The sequence below is a fragment of the Homo sapiens genome, chromosome 7, assembly GCF_000001405.40.
Source record: "Homo sapiens chromosome 7, GRCh38.p14 Primary Assembly".
Lineage (NCBI taxonomy): Eukaryota > Metazoa > Chordata > Mammalia > Primates > Hominidae > Homo > Homo sapiens.
The window spans coordinates 133888426-133909036 of NC_000007.14; the positions used below are offsets into that span (position 1 = coordinate 133888426).

General features: G+C 41.6%; 1 protein-coding gene across 10 annotated transcripts in view, besides 1 other annotated feature; it reads left to right on the forward strand.

The window, feature by feature from the left end:
- The window catches only part of EXOC4 (exocyst complex component 4), an 847874-nt gene that overhangs the window by 635348 nt on the left and 191915 nt on the right, over positions 1 to 20611 (forward strand). For all 10 annotated transcript variants that reach the window (XR_007060126.1, XR_007060125.1, XR_007060123.1 and 7 more), the window contains one exon: positions 7174 to 7310. Coding sequence is in view for 2 of the 10 variants with exons in the window: in NM_021807.4 (NP_068579.3) it covers positions 7174 to 7310 (137 nt within the window). In the remaining 8 variants the exon portion in view is untranslated. The remainder of the gene's footprint in view (positions 1 to 7173; positions 7311 to 20611) is intronic.
- Positions 6178 to 6798: an enhancer, noted in NCBI's record as "OCT4-NANOG-H3K27ac-H3K4me1 hESC enhancer chr7:133579356-133579976 (GRCh37/hg19 assembly coordinates)". NCBI's record gives its function as "activates a minimal SCP1, AML or CMV promoter by ChIP-STARR-seq in naive H9 embryonic stem cells {active_cell/tissue: H9 hESC(naive)}" and the evidence as "EXISTENCE:reporter gene assay evidence [ECO:0000049][PMID:30033119]".

The following is a 20611-nucleotide window of genomic DNA, read 5'->3' on the forward strand; positions in this document are numbered from 1 at the left end:
ATTCCAAGCTGCTCAGCCTGTGATTAATATTTACCCCAGTGTATTTCTGCTTCTTTTGAAAGAGGCATGAACTAATGGTTTAAACAACTCAGTCTTTTCTTAATAAAAAATTTAGAATTTGTTGACTATGCGTCTTTTTCAGATATAACACTGATTTGCTGCACAGTGCTGTCGGCATCTAGCTTTAAGATGGGCTTATTTTTCCTTTCAGATAGTTTTTTTAATTCAGTTTTAAAATATGTCTGAGTGTGTTTGGACCCTGCGCCTACAGTGGTGACAGCAATATGAAACACTGTAATCTCGTGAGAAAATGCACTGTGGGCAGCAGAACTCCGGTCTGGCTCTGAGGCAGAATGGTATACTTAGAGGAGCAAAGCCTGGAGCTCCTTCTTTATTTATTTCATCTTTCTAAGCTTGTTTCCTCATCTTTAAACTGGGGATGATTATAGGATACACCTGATAGGGGTGTTGAGAGGATTAAACAAAATAAAATATCCAAAGTGCTTATCATTGTACTTTGCACTTGTAAGAACCCTTTAAATGTTCATGATTATCATGATTATTATGTGAGTCTCAAGTGAGATAACATATGCTGTGTATGTGAAAACATTCTACAAGCTGTAAAACACAATACAAATGTTAGTTGTTATTCTGAATAGATTGATGGTTTTGAAACTTTTAAAATAAATCATGGAAGGTTTTTTCTTTGTGCTGCCTGTCATAGGTCCCTAATCTCAAAAAGCCTTGGAGTGATAAATCAGGCTCCAACTGAATATGCATTTTCTGTCTTAAAAGCCAGAGTTATCTTGTGAGTGTCAAGAATTCCATGATAGCGACTTGAAAATCCCTATTCTGTGTCCTTCCAGAGAAAAAACTTGCTCAGGTCTTGGGAAGACCAGCGCTGTGTAAGATACTTATTTGGTTGTTGTTTTGAGTTCATATTTCTTTTTTTTTTTTCAGAGTCCACAGAGCTATTTTATTATTATTACTATTATTATTATTTTTTTTAATTATACTTTAAGTTTTAGGGTACATGTGCACATTGTGCAGGTTAGTTACATATGTATACATGTGCCATGCTGGTGCGCTGCACCCACTAACTCGTCATCTAGCATTAGGTATATCTCCGAATGCTATCCCTCCCCCCTCCCCCCTCCCCACCACAGTCCCCAGAGTGTGATATTCCCCTTCCTGTGTCCATGTGATCTCATTGTTCAGTTCCCACCTATGAGTGAGAATATGCGGTGTTTGGTTTTTTGTTCTTGCGATAGTTTACTGAGAATGATGGTTTCCAATTTCATCCATGTCCCTACAAAGGACATGAACTCATCATTTTTTATGGCTGCATAGTATTCCATGGTGTATATGTGCCACATTTTCTTAATCCAGTCTATCATTGTTGGACATTTGGGTTGGTTCCAAGTCTTTGCTATTGTGAATAATGCCGCAATAAACATACGTGTGCATGTGTCTTTATAGCAGCATGATTTATAGTCATTTGGGTATATACCCAGTAATGGGATGGCTGGGTCAAATGGTATTTCTAGTTCTAGATCCCTGAGGAATCGCCACACTGACTTCCACAATGGTTGAACTAGTTTACAGTCCCACCAACAGTGTAAAAGTGTTCCTATTTCTCCACATCCTCTCCAGCACGTGTTGTTTCCTGACTTTTTAATGATTGCCATTCTAACTGGTGTGAGATGATATCTCATAGTGGTTTTGATTTGCATTTCTCTGATGGCCAGTGATGATGAGCATTTTTTCATGTGTTTTTTGGCTGCATAAATGTCTTCTTTTGAGAAGTGTCTGTTCATGTCCCTCGCCCACTTTTTGATAGGGTTGTTTGTTTTTTTCTTGTAAATTTGTTTGAGTTCATTGTAGATTCTGGATATTAGCCCTTTGTCAGATGAGTAGGTTGCGAAAATTTTCTCCCATGTTGTAGGTTGCCTGTTCACTCTGATGGTAGTTTCTTTTGCTGTGCAGAAGCTCTTGAGTTTAATTAGATCCCATTTGTCAATTTTGGCTTTGGTTGCCATTGCTTTTGGTGTTTTGGACATGAAGTCCTTGCCCACGCCTATGTCCTGAATGGTAATTTCTAGGTTTTCTTCTAGGGTTTTTATGGTTTTAGGTCTAACGTTTAAATCTTTAATCCATCTTGAATTGATTTTTGTATAAGGTGTAAGGAAGGGATCCAGTTTCAGCTTTCTACATATGGCTAGCCAGTTTTCCCAGCACCATTTATTAAATAGGGAATCCTTTCCCCATTGCTTGTTTTTCTCAGGTTTGTCAAAGATCAGATAGTTGTAGGTATGCGGCGTTATTTCTGAGGGCTCTGTTCTGTTCCATTGATCTATATCTCTGTTTTGGTACCAGTACCATGCTGTTTTGGTTACTGTAGCCTTGTAGTATAGTTTGAAGTCAGGTAGTGTGATGCCTCCAGCTTTGTTCTTTTGGCTTAGGATTGACTTGGTGATGCGGGCTCTTTTTTGGTTCCATATGAACTTTAAAGTAGTTTTTTCCAATTCTGTGAAGAAAGTCATTGGTAGCTTGATGGGGATGGCATTGAATCTGTAAATTGCCTTGGGCAGTATGGCCATTTTCACGATATTGATTCTTCCTACCCATGAGCATGGAATGTTCTTCCATTTGTTTGTATCCTCTTTTATTTCCTTGAGCAGTGGTTTGTAGTTCTCCTTGAAGAGGTCCTTCACATCCCTTGTAAGTTGGATTCCTAGGTATTTTATTCTCTTTGAAGCAATAGTGAATGGGAGTTCACTCATGATTTGGCTCTCTGTTTGTCTGTTGTTGGTGTATAGGAATGCTTGTGATTTTTGTACATTGATTTTGTATCCTGAGACTTTGCTGAAGTTGCTTATCAGCTTAAGGAGATTTTGGGCTGAGACGATGGGGTTTTCTAGATAAACAATCATGTCGTCTGCAAACAGGGACAATTTGACTTCCTCTTTTCCTAATTGAATACCCTTTATTTCCTTCTCCTGCCTGATTGCCCTGGCCAGAACTTCCAACACTATGTTGAATAGGAGCGGTGAGAGAGGGCATCCCTGTCTTGTGCCAGTTTTCAAAGGGAATGCTTCCAGTTTTTGCCCATTCAGTATGATATTGGCTGTGGGTTTGTCATAAATAGCTCTTATTATTTTGAAATACGTCCCATCAATACCTAATTTATTGAGAGTTTTTAGCATGAAGGGTTGTTGAATTTTGTCAAAGGCTTTTTCTGCATGTATTGAGATAATCATGTGGTTTTTGTCTTTGGCTCTGTTTATATGCTGGATTACATTTATTGATTTGCGTATATTGAACCAGCCTTGCATCCCAGGGATGAAGCCCACTTGATCATGGTGGATAAGCTTTTTGATGTGCTACTGGATTCGTTTTGCCAGTATTTTATTGAGGATTTTTGCATCAATGTTCATCAAGGATATTGGTCTAAAATTCTCTTTTTTGGTTGTGTCTCTGCCCGGCTTTGGTATCAGAATGATGCTGGCCTCATAAAATGAGTTAGGGAGGATTACCTCTTTTTCTATTGATTGGAATAGTTTCAGAAGGAATGGTACCAGTTCCTCCTTGTACCTCTGGTAGAATTCGGCTGTGAATCCATCTGGTCCTGGACTCTTTTTGGTTGGTAAACTATTGATTATTGCCACAATTTCAGCTCCTGTTATTGGTCTATTCAGAGATTCAACTTCTTCCTGGTTTAGTCTTGGGAGAGTGTATGTGTCAAGGAATGTATCCATTTCTTCTAGATTTTCTAGTTTATTTGCGTAGAGGTGTTTGTAGTATTCTCTGATGGTAGTTTGTATTTCTGTGGGATCGGTGGTGATATCCCCTTTATCATTTTTTATTGTGTCTATTTGATTCTTCTCTCTTTTTTTCTTTATTAGTCTTGCTAGCGGTCTATCAATTTTGTTGATCCTTTCAAAAAACCAGCTCCTGGATTCATTGATTTTTTGAAGGGTTTTTTGTGTCTCTGTTTCCTTCAGTTCTGCTCTGATTTTAGTTATTTCTTGCCTTCTGCTAGCTTTTGAATGTGTTTGCTCTTGCTTTTCTAGTTCTTTTAATTGTGATGTTAGGGTGTCAATTTTGGATCTTTCCTGCTTTCTCTTGTGGGCATTTAGTGCTATAAATTTCCCTCTACACACTGCTTTGAATGCATCCCAGAGATTCTGGTATGTTGTGTCTTTGTTCTCGTTGGTTTCAAAGAACATCTTTATTTCTGCCTTCATTTCGTTATGTACCCAGTAGTCATTCAGGAGCAGGTTGTTCAGTTTCCATGTAGTTGAGCGGCTTTGAGTGAGAGTCTTAATCCTGAGTTCTAGTTTGATTGCACTGTGGTCTGAGAGATAGTTTGTTATAATTTGTGTTCTTTTACATTTGCTGAGGAGAGCTTTACTTCCAACTATGTGGTCAATTTTGGAATAGGTGTGGTGTGGTAATGAAAAAAATGTATATTCTGTTGATTTGGGGTGGAGAGTTCTGTAGATGTCTATTAGGTCTGCTTGGTGCAGAGCTGAGTTCAATTCCTGGGTATCCTTGTTGACTTTCTGTCTCATTGATCTGTCTAATGTTGACAGTGGGGTGTTAAAGTCTCCCATTATTAATGTGTGGGAGTCTAAGTCTCTTTGTAGGTCACTCAGGACTTGCTTTATGAATCTGGGTGCTCCTGTATTGGGTGCATGTATATTTAGGATAGTTAGCTCCTCTTGTTGAATTGATCCCTTTACCATTATGTAATGGCCTTCTTTGTCTCTTTTGATCTTTGTTGGTTTAAAGTCTGCTTTATCAGAGACTAGGATTGCAACCCCTGCCTTTTTTTGTTTTCCATTTGCTTGGTAGATCTTCCTCCATCCTTTTATTTTGAGCCTATGTGTGTCTCTGCACGTAAGATGGGTTTCCTGAATATAGCACACTGATGGGTCTTGACTCTTTATCGAACTTGCCAGTCTGTGTCTTTTAATTGGAGAATTTAGTCCATTTACATTTAAAGTTAATATTGTTATGTGTGAATTTGATCCTGTCATTATGATGTTAGCTGGTGATTTTGCTCGTTAGTTGATGCAGTTTCTTCCTAGTCTCGATGGTCTTTACATTTTGGCATGATTTTGCAGCGGCTGGTACCGGTTGTTCCTTTCCATGTTTAGTGCTTCCTTCAGGAGCTCTTTTAGGGCAGGCCTGGTAGTGACAAAATCTCTCAGCATTTGCTTGTCTGTAAAGTATTTTATTTCTCCTTCACTTATGAAGCTTAGTTTGGCTGGATATGAAATTCTGGGTTGAAAATTCTTTTCTTTAAGAATGTTGAATATTGGCCCCCACTCTCTTCTGGCTTGTAGGGTTTCTGCCGAGAGATCCACTGTTAGTCTGATGGGCTTCCCTTTGAGGGTAACCCGACCTTTCTCTCTGGCTGCCCTTAACATTTTTTCCTTCATTTCAACTTTGGTGAATCTGATAATTATGTGTCTTGGAGTTGCTCTTCTCGAGGAGTATCTTTGTGGCGTTCTCTGTATTTCCTGAATCTGAACGTTGGCCTGCCTTGCTAGATTGGGGAAGTTCTCCTGGATAATATATCCTGCAGAGTGTTTTCCAACTTGGTTCCATTCTCCGCATCACTTTCAGGTACACCAATCAGACGTAGATTTGGTCTTTTCACATAGTCCCATATTTCTTGGAGGCTTTGCTCATTTCTTTTTATTCTTTTTTCTCTAACCTTCCCTTCTCGCTTCATTTCATTCATTTCATCTTCCATTGCTGATACCCTTTCTTCCAGTTGATCGCATTGGCTCCTGAGGCTTCTGCATTCTTCACGTAGTTCTCGAGCCTTGGTTTTCAGCTCCATCAGCTCCTTTAAGCACTTCTCTGTATTGGTTATTCTAGTTATACATTCTTCTAAATTTTTTTCAAAGTTTTCAACTTCTTTGCCTTTGGTTTGAATGTCCTCCCGTAGCTCAGAGTAATTTGATGGTCTGAAGCCTTCCTCTCTCAGCTCGTCAAAATCATTCTCCATCCAGCTTTGTTCCGTTGCTGGTGAGGAACTGCGTTCCTTTGGAGGAGGAGAGGCGCTCTGCGTTTTAGAGTTTCCAGTTTTTCTGTTCTGTTTTTTCCCCATCTTTGTGGTTTTATCTACTTTTGGTCTTTCATGATGGTGATGTACAGATGGGTTTTTGGTGTGGATGTCCTTTCTGTTTGTTAGTTTTCCTTCTAACAGACAGGACCCTCAGCTGCAGGTCTGTTGGAATACCCTGCCGTGTGAGGTGTCAGTGTGCCCCTGCTGGGGGGTGACTCCCAGTTAGGCTGCTCGGGGGTCAGGGGTCAGGGACCCACTTGAGGAGGCAGTCTGCCCGTTCTCAGATCTCCAGCTGCGTGCTGGGAGAACCACTGCTCTCTTCAAAGCTGTCAGACAGGGACATTTAAGTCTGCAGAGTTTACTGCTGTCTTTTTGTTTGTCTGTGCCCTGCCCCCAGAGGTGGAGCCTACAGAGGCAGGTAGGCCTCCTTGAGCTGTGGTGGGCTCCACCCAGTTTGAGCTTCCCGGCTGCTTTGTTTACCTAAGCAAGCCTGGGCAATGGCGGGCGCCCCTCCCCCAGCCTCGCTGCCGCCTTGCAGTTTGATCTCAGACTGCTGTGCTAGCAATCAGCGAGATTCCGTGGGTGTAGGACCCTCCGAGCCAGGTGTGGGATATAGTCTCGTGGTGCGCCGTTTTTTAAGCCGGTCTGAAAAGCGCAATATTCGGGTGGGAGTGACCCGATTTTCCAGGTGCGTCCGTCACCCCTTTCTTTGACTCGGAGAGGGAACTCCCTGACCCCTTGAGCTTCCCAGGTGAGGCAATGCCTCGCCCTGCTTCGGCTCGCGCACGGTGCGCGCACCCACTGGCCTGCGCCCACTGTCTGGCACTCCCTAGTGAGATGAACCCAGTACCTCAGATGGAAATGCAGAAATCACCCGTCTTCTGCGTCGCTCACGCTGGGAGCTGTAGACCAGAGCTGTTCCTATTCGGCCATCTTGGCTCCTCCCCCTGTTTTGAGTTCATATTTCAAAATGTCACATTCTTGCAGGAGAGCTCAGGTACCTTAAATTATGACATACTTGGAGTTGTCCTTCCTTGTCCAACACATTGACTACAGAAATCTCATATCCTCTCTTTGTTGTTCATTTCCAGAGCACAATCATTGTGGAGAAGACAGTTCAAGACCTCCTGAACCTGATGCATGACTTGAGTGCATATTCAGATCAATTCCTCAACATGGTGTGCGTGAAGCTCCAGGAGTACAAGGACACCTGCACTGCAGCTTACAGGTAGAGCTTCTGTTAGGGGCTAAGCAAAGTAACGTTTGAGCCTGATGGTGGTTCCAATTGGTGAAATTGCTTCAATAGCCTAATTTCCAAAAGGATCATCTCTGAGTTTGTCAAGAGATGAGAACATGCATCATGGAAATAGCCTCCTAGACCTTTGTGTAGTCAGACCAACAGAGAGAATGAAAGTGATGAAGGGACGCAGCCACTAGGACTACCAATGCATGGCTCAGATTATGTGTCAGCCTTGATGTTCATGAAAACCTAGAATGATAAGATCATGTTCCTCAAGGAAATTCCAGATCTTGGTTAGTCTATCTTGTGGTTAAAAAGATCCTTAAAGTAGAGCAATTTGAAACTCTTAATAATCTTTAATAGTGTTTCCTTTTAATTAAAAATATATTCTTCCTGATATTTAATTTGTAGCATTCCTACTGTCACAAAAGAACAGTTACCCCTGTTTTCAGCATCAGTAGCAATGAAAAACCATTGTTATGAACTTGAAAACCATTAGTTATCCCTCTGATTTCCTTCCTTAGGTTCAAAAAAATCTCTCTGGGCTTGTGGAAAAGATCATAGCAATTCTCTAAGAAAGCTAATAATGGGAACAAATTATAATCTGGTTCACAAGACATGAAACAATTAGGGAAGAAAAGAATGTATAATAAAATACTAAATTATATGTGATATATAATGAAGGATAGATAGGTAAAGTGCAGTACATAATCAGGTGCTACTTGTACAGTATAGACTGTGAGGGCAGAAGGAACAAAAAACAAGAAAGAGAAAGGGGTTGTAGTCGGGAATGGTTTTGCAGGTGAGGTATGTGCTGGACTCATGAAATTTACGGAGGTGGAGAGAAACATAAAGGCAGGGGTGGAGGAAGCAATAAGACAGTTGCCCCCTATTTTATTTTATTTATTTTATTTATTTATTTATTCATTTATTTTTTGAGAAGGAGTCTCGCTCTGTTGCCAGGCTGGAGTGCAATGGCACAATCTTGGCTCACTGCAACCTCCGCCTCCCAGGTTCAAGCGATTCTCCTGCCTCATCCCCCTGAGTAGCTGGGACTACAGGTGCGCGCCACCATGTCTGGCTATTTTTGTATTTTTAGTAGAGATGGGGTTTCACCATGTTGGCCAGGCTGGTCGCGAATTCCTAACCTCATGATCCGCCCACCTCGGTCTCCCAAAGTGCTGGGATTACAGGCATGAGCCACCACACCCGGCCCAGTTGCCCACTATTTAAAGGGGACAATGAGGAGATAGTTTGACTGGAACAGAGTTCCTATTAGAATCTAGTAGGAGATAATGTTGAATAGGAAGATTAAGACCAACTAAAAAGGGGTCATAAAAAAATAACATTCTGAAAATGTAGATGTTGGATAGCAGATATGGAATCATTATAAGTGAGCAAGGAAGCAGTGTTTACGGAAGATGAATTTGGCAGAGGAATACAACATAGATTAATGCTTATCCTTCCTCATTCCAGCAAGAAGAATGATCCACAGTTACATGGACAAATTAAACAACAACCATCTCATTGAGATGCAGTCCCAATAACCTTTTATGTTCAATAATTATTTATCAAAACTTATATTTAGGTTAAAATCATACATATACTTAACAATTATGTCAATTGGTTGTGTACTAAATAATAATTATAATGGCAATTCAAACAAAAGAAAGTTAAAATTTAGCCTTGTGGTAACAGAAAATTTAAAGTTTTTGGATTTTAATTTATACAGATAGTCTTTTGTAAAAAGCTACAATGGAATAATAAAATAATTTCAAGCATAAAAATATATTTCATTAGGATAAATTCCAGTGAGGAAATGAAATAGAAATAATAATTCAAAGAGAAAAAGGAAAAGCAAAACATATCCAGCTGTTAAAGAAGAGCTTGTTCATATGTATTTTAAATGTATAATGGAGGGTATCAAATCCCTATGGCATTGAGATTCTATTGGATGCTTTTTTAAAATTTTTAATTGACAAATAATAATTATATAATGAGCTACAATTGGATGTTCTGATATATGAATACATTATGAAATGATTACATTCAATCTGATTCACATATCCATTACCTCTCATACTTCTCTTTGTGTGTCTTTGTGCTGCAGACATTTAAAATCTACTCTCAGCATTTTGAAATATATATTACATTATTGTTAATTATAGTGACCATGATGTTCAATCAGTCTCAAAATGGCATTCCTTCTAACTGAAACTTTGTATGGTTTGAGCAACATCTCCCCACCTCACCCCACACCCACCCCAATCCCCCAGCCCCCAGCCTCCAGCAACCGCTGTTCTACCCTCTACTTCTATAAGTTCAACTCTTTTAGAGTCCCCATATAAGTGAAATCATGCAATATTTGTCTTTCTGTGCCTGGCCATTGGATACATTTAAAATAGTGATTTTTAACAGTGTCAGTCTTTAGGGTATGCCAAAATTTATATCTGTTGCATCTATTTAAATGCAGGCTAAAAAAATTAAATGTCAACTTAAAAAGGGAAGGAGAATATAGTTTTTCAAAATTATTTTAAAGGATACACCAATAACAATTGTAAAAGCCACTATTCTAGGTTAATTGCCTGAGATTGGAATTTCTGGGCCATTAGAGTCTTGGATTTTCAGTTTTACAAAACCAGATTCCAAAGTGGTAGTACCAACGTCTCATCTACCAAAAGAGAATGGAATAAAATATTTTAACTATTAAAACTTAGGCCCGATGCAGTGGCTCACGCCTGTAATCTCAGCACTTTGAGAGGCCGAGGCAGGCGGATCACGAGGTCAGGAGATCGAGACCATCCTGGTTAACACGGTGAAACCCCGTCTCTACTAAAAATACAAAAAAAATTAGCCGGGCGTGGTGGCAGCGCCTGTAGTCCCAGCTACTCGGGAGGCTGAGGCAGGAGAATGGCATGAACCCGGGAGGCGGAGCTTGCAGTGAGCAGAGATCGCGCCACTGCACTCCAGCCTGGGCGACAGAGCAAGACTCTGTCTCAAAAAAAAAAAAAAAAAAAAAAAAGAGTTCGAGACCAGCCTGGCCAACATGGTGAAAGCCCATCTCTACCAAAAGTACAAAAATTAGCCAGGTGTGGTGGTGTATGCCTATAATCCCAGCTACTCGGGAGGCTGAGGCAGGAGAATCGCTTGAACCTGGGAGGTGGAGGTTGCAGTGAGTTGAGATTGCACCCCTGCACTCCAGACTGGATGACAGAGTGAGACTCCATCTCAAAAAATAAAAAATAAAAATAAAACTTAAATATTAAAAAGTTTAAAATTTTTAAAATAATTGCATTTTAATAATATTATATTTTAAATTTATGTTGAACCTCCATTAAATATAAAGCTTTTTTTTTTTAAGTAGGGCATGCCCTCTTTTTCTAGTAAGTTGTCTGATTATGGGCACCCAATAACTTTCTTACAAATAATAATGTTGATAAATAGTAATTATAGTGGAGATGTTGCGTAACCTGACCATGATAAGGTCAAGTTGTCTCTAGAATGTAAATCCCACTGATAGCCGTTTATATTGTATTATTGATGTTGTTGTCTTGAAAGACATGTTTTAAGTTCTTGCAGCTTGGCACCATATTCATCATGGGTGATTTTTTTTCCAATCATTTATGTTCCTGCCTCTCAAGATGTCAAGTGGCTGGAAGCCACTGCATCTGCAAAGCAGACTGATCATTGTTGAATAGTTTTCATCTGGAAGTTTTCTCTTTGTTTGAAGTGATACTCTCCTGTCCATTGGACATAGTTCTTTTCTCTGAATGATAACAAATCAGTTTAATCCTTTTATGAATGCCCTTGAAATATATGAAGATAGCTATCATAGTCCATTTAGTCTTGCTTTCCCTCCTTAAACTGAACATTCCCAGTTTCTGGTATGCCCTGGTCTATGAACTATCTCAGTCATCTTTCTCCATTACCCATTAGCTTGGCAGTGTCCATCTTAAAAAGGAGTGCCCCAGAGTATACCCAGTGTTCCAGATGTACTCTTTTTTTTTTTTTTTTTTTTTTTTGAGACAGAGTCTTTTGCCAGAGCTGGAGTGCAGTGGCGCAATCTTGGCTCACTGCAGCCTCTGCCTCCCGGGTTCAAGTGATTCTCTTGCCTCAGCCTCCTGAGTAGCTGGGACTACAGGCACAAGCCACCATGCCCAACTGTCTATTTATTTATTTAGTAGAGATGGAGTTTCACCATGTTGGCCAGGCTGGTCTCGATCGAATTCCTGGCCTCAAGCGATTCTCCCACCGCCTCGGCCTCACCAAGTGCCCAGATGCACTCTGGGTGTTGAGCAGCACCATCACTTTCCTTGTTCAGGACCCAGTGCTGGACACAATGCTTCTTAGTGTGTCCTATCATTGCATTTGTCAGGTATTTACTGAGCATTTACCAAGATGCTGTGAGGGTGTGTGGGGATAAAGAAATTAATCAGTCAAGATTCTACCTTTCATGTGCTCATATTCTTGGTGAAGAATAGAAAGGGAAATATGGGACAAAGAAATAGAAAGCATGTATCCACAGCATTAATTCATGACAGAAAATATGGCAAGATAGGTAAAAATGCCTTGCTGTGGGAGGAAGAAATTACGAAGGAGGACAGGGAAGGCTTAGTGAAGTATATGAACTAGGCTTTGTGAAGAGTGAAGAGGAATTAGACATAGGTTTGAAGAAGAGCACGAACAAGTGATAAATGTCTAGGATGTGGAAAGGAAAGCTTGGGTCAGACTGGAGGATCGCGAATGTCAGACTCAAGGAACTTTGCCTTTTTAAATTAGGTAGCGAGGAGCCACTGAGTGGGTGTTAAGCATGGAGTGCCACGTGCACACCTGTGCTTTAGGGAAATTTTTCTGAGTTTTGTGTAAGATGGATTTGAAAAGCAAGAGTATAGAGATAGAGGGGAGAGAGACATTAAGTGCCTGAATCAGGGGACAGGGAAGGAAAATGGAGAGGAAGGAACAGATTAAGAGATAGTAAAGAGGTAAACTTGATAAGACTTTGGCCACTGATTGGCTATAGAAGAAGAAATACAGATTGAAATTAGTATTATCTTTTCTATGCTGTATTTATGGTGATTTTTGTAAAACACAAATTCAGGATCTCACATTTATCCATTAAATTTAATGTTATTTATTTATTTAGAGAGATTCTCACTCTGTTGCCCAGGCTGGAGTGCGGTGGCACGATCTCAGCTCACTGCAGCCTCCGCCTCCCAGATTCACATGATTCTCCTGCCTCAGCCTCCCAAATGGCTGGGATTACAGGTGCCCACCAACACACCTGGCTAATTTTTGTAGTTTTAGTAGAGATGGGGTTTCACCATGTTGGCCAGGCTGGTCTCAAACTCCTGACCTCAGGTGATCCACCCACCTCGGCCTCCCAAAGTCCTGGGATTACAGGCATGAGCCACCATGCCTGGCCAAATTTAATGTTATTTTTAAGTCACCATTTCAGCCTATTGAGATATTTTTGAATCTTCATTCTGTCGTCAAAAAATCTTAGCTATTCCTGTAAGTTCCTTGTCTTCCTTGATTACATAAGCAATCTTTTTTTTATGCATGTCATTGAAAAAATGTCCAACAGCATAAGACTAAGTTGAGAATTGGGGAGCTATACCTCCTGACACTTCCTTGTATGTTGACATCTGTATATTACTTAGTGCCTCAGGAGTTCATATGTTTTTCTAACTAGGAACCTGGGCTTTAGCTCAAGAGCAGGCCCTACAGCTTAAGTTTAAATGCCAGCTTTTCTACCTACTATTTATATGACACTGAAAAGCTCCTCAGCCTCTCTGCCTTGATTTCCTCATCTGCAAAAAGGTAATAATAGTCCTTTCCTCAAAGCGTTATTTCAAAAATTGTCAATCTTTTATAACTGGTTTTAGCGAAGTGATATGCTCCCCCAAAAATGATTTGCTGCTATTTTGATAATGATAATAATGGTAATGACAGTGATTGCCTTTACCAGTTCCCATGACACTATTCCACATATTTCATAATCTGCCCTATAAAAGATTGATCAGGTTTCTTGCTGGTGTCTTCCCAGCCTGATTCTTTTAATGCAGCCAACCCTTCCTCATGTTGGCATGCAGGCCTGTTATGGACAATACTAGATATTTGTTCAAGAATCCTCCCATCCCTTTACTGTTAGGACCCACTTCTCCCAACTGAAGCATTCCTTAAGAACTCTCTTCTTGGGCAGCTTTCAAATTACCTTTGGAAACAAGATCAAGATAACCAAGAGCCAAATTTACCACCGCCCCAGTCAGTTAGGAAAGGATCATGTGACCTATTCTTCGTGAGATCCTCCTAGCTTCTAGTGAGTACCACTTTCTAATTATTCATGAACTATGTTTTAATTATCTGTTCAGAATTTTGCCTACAATTCCAAATTCACCTCATTTCTGTAATTTACGTTGCTTTTCTTTTATGAACATCAGGGATTTGCTCCCAGGCATTTTCTCCTGTGTGTCAGGATACCTTCAAAAATGATCAGCAGTGGTTCTGTGATTCCATGCTTTGAATTATTTCGGCATCACAAGATCCTTCCCTAAATTTGTTAAACCTTTCAGGAATTTTTTTGATCTCAATAACCATTAACAAACACAGTGGATCACTGCATCTTTAAAACAATTTATTCACTTGGTTTCTAGAATTCCATTTATTCAACAAATATTTATTGAGTGCTAGTACAAGAGTTTGTAGATATAACAGTGAACTAAGCAGATTAAATATCTGCTTTCATGGGGTTTATGTTCTGTTGTGAATGGGAGAGGGGAGATAGACAATAAATGAATGTAATACATAAACATAAAGAATTTTAGGGCCGGGCGCAGTGGCTCACACCTGTAGTTCCAGCACTTTGGGAGGCCGAGGGCAGGCAGATCACCAGGTCAACAGATTGAGACCATCATGGCCAACATGGTGAAACCCCGTCTCTACTAAAAACGCCAAAAAATTAGCCAGGTGTGTTGGCAGGTGCCCGTAGTCCCAACTACTCAGGAGGCTGAGGCAGGAGAATCGCTTGAACCCGGGAGGCAGAGGTTGCAGTGAGCCGAGATTGCGCCACTGCACTCCAGCCTGGCGACAGAATGAGACTCTGTCTCAAAAAAACAAAACAAAAAAAAAAAGAATTTTCGAAGATAGTAAGTACTGTGGAGAAAAGAAATGGAGTAAAGTAGATAGACTCAGGAGTGTGAGAGGAGCAGGTTGTAGTTTTAAATAGGATGCCCCAGGGAGGCTCTGTTGAGTTGAGCTTAGAGGAAAGGCTCCAAGGAGTTGAAAGAGTTTGACCAGCCATCTGGGTAGAGTGCACTGGCACAGGGCAAAGGCCAGGAGGCAGGACGCTCCGGGACACTTTTAAGGAACAGCAAGGAGGCCAGCATGGTTGGAGTAAAGTGAGCGAGAGGAGGAAGGGTATTGAAGGATCACCAAGAGGGAATGGAGGTCTTGGTAAGCCACTCTAGGGATGCTGAGTACTACTCTGAGTGAAATGAGAAGCCATTACAAGGATTGTGCGTAGGAGCAGCATGATCTTACATATATTTTAAATTTTAAGTATTGAAAATAGGCTTTAGGTAGTCAAGGATGGAAGCAGTGAGACCACCTAAAGGCCACAGTGGTAACCCAGGTGAGAAATGAAGACTCTTTGCACTGTTGGTAGCAGCAGAGATGGAGGGAACTGGGTGAACTCTGAATGTATTTGAAGGACCAGCCAGCTGAATTCCCTGCCAGATTGAAGATAGGGTGTGAGAGAAAGAAAGGTGTCAAAAATAACTCTCAGGATTTTATATTTGAGCAGTGAAAAGATGGATGGAGTTGCCAGCTATTGTGACGGAGGATGCTGCAGGTCTAGGCAAGCAGATCAGTGCTTAAATTTAGAGTGTCTCTTAGCCATGTGGGGGAGGGAGTTGGACATATGCATCAAAACAAGAGAGGTCTGGCCTGGAGATAGATATTTGGCAGCCATCAACATATAAATAGTATAGCTAAATGGAATTTAAAACTATGGGACTAGATGAAATCTTCACAGGAGGGAGTATACTCATGGCAAAGAAGAGGACCATGGACTTTTATGAAGTTTGCAAGATGACGAGAAACCATCAAAGGACATTGACAAGCAGCAGCCAGTGAAGGAGGAGGAAAATCTAGAAAATACAGTGTTGTAGTGTTGCCAGCATTAGAACTCAGCACGGACTGAGTGATAAATGTAGCACGGACTGAGTGATAAATGTAAATGTTTTTGTGGAGTAGTAGGGATGAAAACTGGATGGGTGTGGCCTTAAAAAAGAGACTGGGAGTAGAGGAAGGGTAAATAGAGGCAAAACTTTTGCACTGAGTTTTGCAGCAAAGGCGAACAGAGAAATGGCATAGTGGCTGGAGAAATGAGGTCACAGGAAGGTTTTTTTGTTTTATGTGTTTTTTAAGTCGAAGAAATAAGTACATATTTGTATTTGAAGAAAAGGACTTGGGAAGAATGAAAATTTGGTGATGTAAGAAAGAAAGGGGAAAATCCCTGAAATTATGTTTTTGGCCAGGGAAGTAGCGGTGGAGGAGGGGTGTGCAACTGGAGTGATTGGTTTAGGCGGGAACATGGATAGTTTTGCCTGCGCTGTCTGTCCGTTCTATAGGAATTGTGTTATTTCTCTGTCATTCATATTTTACCGCTTTGTCCAAACAGCAAACTCTATCTCTCTTGGACTACTACTCTGGAACATGGCCATTGCTTTGGTTTTTGACATATTCTGGTCATCAGGAGCATTTTGATTCCTTCCCGTAAGAAACTCTACTGCTGTGGCATCTCTGCTAGCCACAGTCTCTGAAATGGTGTCCACCTGTTGGTGCCCACTGTCACATCTCAGGGGATTATCTGGGAGGGATCTACCATAGTTGCTGAATGATGGACCTGGGTTAAATTTTTCTCAGGATTGGGAAAAGTATTCTTTGAGGCTTTGAAAGGGAATAAATAGAAAATCATCTTTCTGGTTGTTATACAACAATGCACACTCAAAGGCACAACACATGCCCCCACGGTGCTGTTGCTGCTGGTTAATCAGCGTATTCAGGTTTCTGGAGAAAGTGTTTTCTTATTGTATGACTCTGAAGATGCAAAGTGTCCTTACTTCCTCTCTTCCCATTTATTGCCCTCCCCCAGATTGGCACCTGCTGAGGACTAATTAGGGCAGTCCTAATTTGGACGGCCAAATCCTGATTACAGTGAGGGGAAAAACAGGAAATGTTCTAGTTTTGCTGCCAGCAAATGACTGACTTAAATAGAAAGCCATATACAATTCAAATGATCCAAAATGGTATAACACTGGGGAAGGAGGAAGGGAGCAGGAAGACGTTGCACTCTGATTTTCTCCCATGTGATCCTCAGCAGATATCCTTCAGAGAAATCATCAAATCTAGAAACTCACAATGCCCTCTGCTGAGGGTTGGCTTGTTTTCCAAGCTTCCCATGAAAACCTGGGCAGCTCCTGGGAGCTTAGAGATCTGAGGAAAGGTGAAAAACATATCACCTTTCTATGAGTACCTCACTCTAGAGACAGACTGTGCCTCAGGTAATGTCAGGTTACATGCTTTGGATAAAGAGGGGTTTCCTAAACAGGGAAATGAGGGCTAGAAGTCTTTTCCCTAATTATCCACACCCCTTGGGGCTTAAAGGGAAACTCAGCTGTGAATTCTGTACTGCTCCTCATTAGGAATCAGGCACTTGGCCCATGAGTTGCCTACTTCCAAGCAGAGTGCTTCCCTCCCCTTGCCTGTCCTCTGTCCTGAGATCCATCCAGCAGCTCATGTGTCCCAAAATAATAATTTAAAGATTGGAAATCGCAGTTTTCGGAAGTTTCTCTCTGTTCCAATTTACTATCAGTTCATTAATCAATTTTTTTTTCTTGGAGGTGGGGGATAAGGAGGCTCTCTGCCTTGTGTTGGGCCTGGCAGAGAATACAAATAAAACCTCTTCCCTAGTGTTAGAGGCTCAGTTGGTTTGAGTTGATTTAAGACATAAGCATGTTACCTTTAGCACACCCCTTTCACAACTTCAGAGAGGAGCTAGAACTCATGCTGGACATGAAGAAAGAGTGAGAGGAGGAGAAGCCTGCACTCGCTGATGGCAGACATCAGAGCTGGCACGGGGCTAGGCAGCTTGTTGACCCTCGGTATGCTCATTGAGGAAATTTCTACCAGACTGAACAGGACGAGCAAGCAGTGGAGCAGCATGGACGACCATGGTGCGTGGGAGAAAGGTTGAGAAATCACAGTGACTAGAGTGGACAGTGTGGTTGGGTAGAAATGGGCAGGAAAGGAGAAATTTCTTGTATTAGGTAAAAGAGTGCTTTCATAGGTCTTGGTAAGAAGGAGTACATGATCGAAGTGGTGTTTTATGATCTCACTGGCCCCACTGTGCTAAATAGCACAGACTAGACACTAGGGACTCTGGTGGCTTCTGAAGCCCTTCAGGTTTCCTGTGTAGCCAGAGGCCAGGGTCCTATAGGAATGAGACTCTCCTTGAGCTGGCCTTGGAGCTTTTGCCAACCTAACTTAACTTTGAACCTCAGAGTGAGAGGCAGGACTAGCTGGATTTCTTGGCCAACTAAGAATCCCTAAGCCTTGCTGGGAAGGTGACTGCATCCACCTTTAAACACGGGGGCTTGCAACTTAGCTCACACCCGACCAATCAGGTAGTAAAGAGAGCTCACTAAAATGCTAATTAGGCAAAAACAGGAGGTAAAGAAATAGCCAATCATCTATTGCCTGAGAGCACAGCAGGAGGGACAATGATCAGGATATAAACCCAGGCATTCGAGCCGGCAACGGCTACCCTCTTTGGGTCCCCTCCCTTTGTATGGGAGCTCTGTTTTCACTCTATTAAATCTTGCAACTGCATTCTTCTGCTCTGTGTTTACTACGGCTCGAGCTGAGCTTTCGCTCGCTGTCCACTACCGCTGTTTGCTGCCATCGCAGACCCACCGCTGACTTCCATCCCTCCAGATCCGGCAGGGTGTCCACTGTGCTCCTGATCCACCAAGGGGCCTATTGCCGCCCCCGATCGGGCTAAAGGCTTGCCATTGCTCCTGCACAGATAAGTGTCCGGGTTCGTCCTAATCAAGCTGAACACTAGTCACTGGGTTCCACGGTTCTCTTCTGTGACCCATGGCTTCTAATAGAACTGTTACACTCACCGCACAGCCCAAGATTCCATTCCTTGGAATCTGTGAGGCCAAGAACCCCAGGTCAGAGAACACGAGGCTTGCCACCATCTTGGAAGCGGCCAGCCACCATCTTGGGAGCTCTGGGAGCAAGGACCCCCTGGTAACAAGAACGGCCAAGGGTGTATACCAGGGAAACCCTCTGCAAGCTCCAGCTTGTGATCTGTCTCTTGAAGCTATGTTATCTCCTAACACTGATATATATTCATTTCTATTAAACATTAAATAAGTACCAAAAACATTATAAAATATACACAATATCTGTTTCATAGAGGGCATTCAGCAAGTGAGCTTTTATTGTGTGCTCCTATAATTTATTATGTGTAACTTTATGCTGGTATTTATTCCATTGTATTGTAATTTAGACTTTTAAAATATATTATTTCATTAGTTATTGGTTTAACTGTCTTTCTTTAAAAAAAATATTGTTTTTCAATTGTAGCTTCACATCAAGGTTATTTGGGGAAACTTCAAAACATACATCCTGGGTTTTCCATACTAGGTCCACTGAGAGTTGGGCCCGGGCAAGTTTAGTTTAAAAATATCCTCAAAGTGATTGTCATGTGTTACTGGTTAGAAATCACTGATCTGGGCCAGGCAGGCAGGGTGGCTCACACCTGTAATCTCAGCACTTTGGGTGGCCTAGGTGGGTGGATCACCTTGAGGTCAGGATTTCGAGACCAGCCTGGCCAACATGGTAAAACCCCATCTCTACTAAATATACAAATATTAGCTGGGCATGGTGGCAGGTTCCTGTAATCCCTTCTACTCAGGAGGCTGAGGCAGGAGAATCGCTTGAACCTGGGAGGCAGAGGTTGCAGTGAGGACTCGGTCTGGAAAGAAAGAGAGAGAAGAAGGAGGAGGAGGAGGAAGAGGAGGAGAAGGAGAGAGAAAGAAGGAGGGGAAGGAGGGAGGGAGGGAGAAATCACTGCTCTGAACTCTTAGCTTCCAGAAGTTATTATGTCATTTTCCACACACCTGTCTGCAGTATCTTGCATGGTGTCTCTGTATAGGCCTTGCACTCTTGTTTTTTGATCAAGTGAATCCCTTCACTCATCCTTTCCAGTACATATCAGTTGCCCTTCTGGCCAAATACAGATGCTGCCCACCTAACCAGTTGTCCTACAAATTCTGTAGCAAGCAGCCAGTCCTCATTTCTCCTACCCAACTCACTCTACCATAATCAGATAGGAGTCTGTTGCAGTGACCTTGACACAAAGTAACAAGGACCTAGACTGGAAAGAAAATACTCAGTAAAGTATTAATACATAGTCTCTGTGCAAGGGACTTTATGGTCACAGCTCATCTAGTCAGTCACAACAATTCTGTTGAATTAGATTCTCTGCCTTTCAGATGAAGAAACAGAGGTTCAGGAAAGTTAATAACGTGGCAAAGGCCACAGAGCATAAAGTGGTAGTGCACATGTGAAAAGCACTAGCTCTGTCTCAGTCTTCAGCCCAAAGAAGAGGCAATGGAATTAAAGAGGAAATAGGAAACCTGAAAAATGCTTCACATGCTTTAGAGAGACAGTGTAATGACTAGGAAAATAGACTGCAGAACAGCGGGTCTGGGTTCATTTCAGGTTCTACCTTGCTAGTTGGCTGACCACCATCCAGTTCCCAGCCTTCTGTGCCTCTGTATTTCGCCTATCAAATGGAAGTAATAATAGTACCTACCACGCAGGGTGGTTGTGAGGATTAAAAGTTTATATATGCCAAATGCTCAGAAGAATGCATAGCTCATGGAAAAGGTTAAATTGTCAGCCAATACAATTATTTATTGTTGCTGCAATTGGTGTTTTGTATTATTGACTTTTAAATTAATTCATTGATGATATTATTGATATTCAATAAGAAGACAGTACAAGAAAGTTTTTTTAATTTTTTTATTATCATACTTTAAGTGCTGGGCTACATGTGCAGAACATGCAGGTTTATTACATCAGTATACACGGGCCGTGGTGGTGTGCTGCACCCATCATCCTGTCATCTACATTAGGTATTTCTCCTAACGCTCTCCCTCCCCTAGCCCCCTAACTCCCGACAGGCCCCAGTGTGTCATGTTCCCCTCCATGTG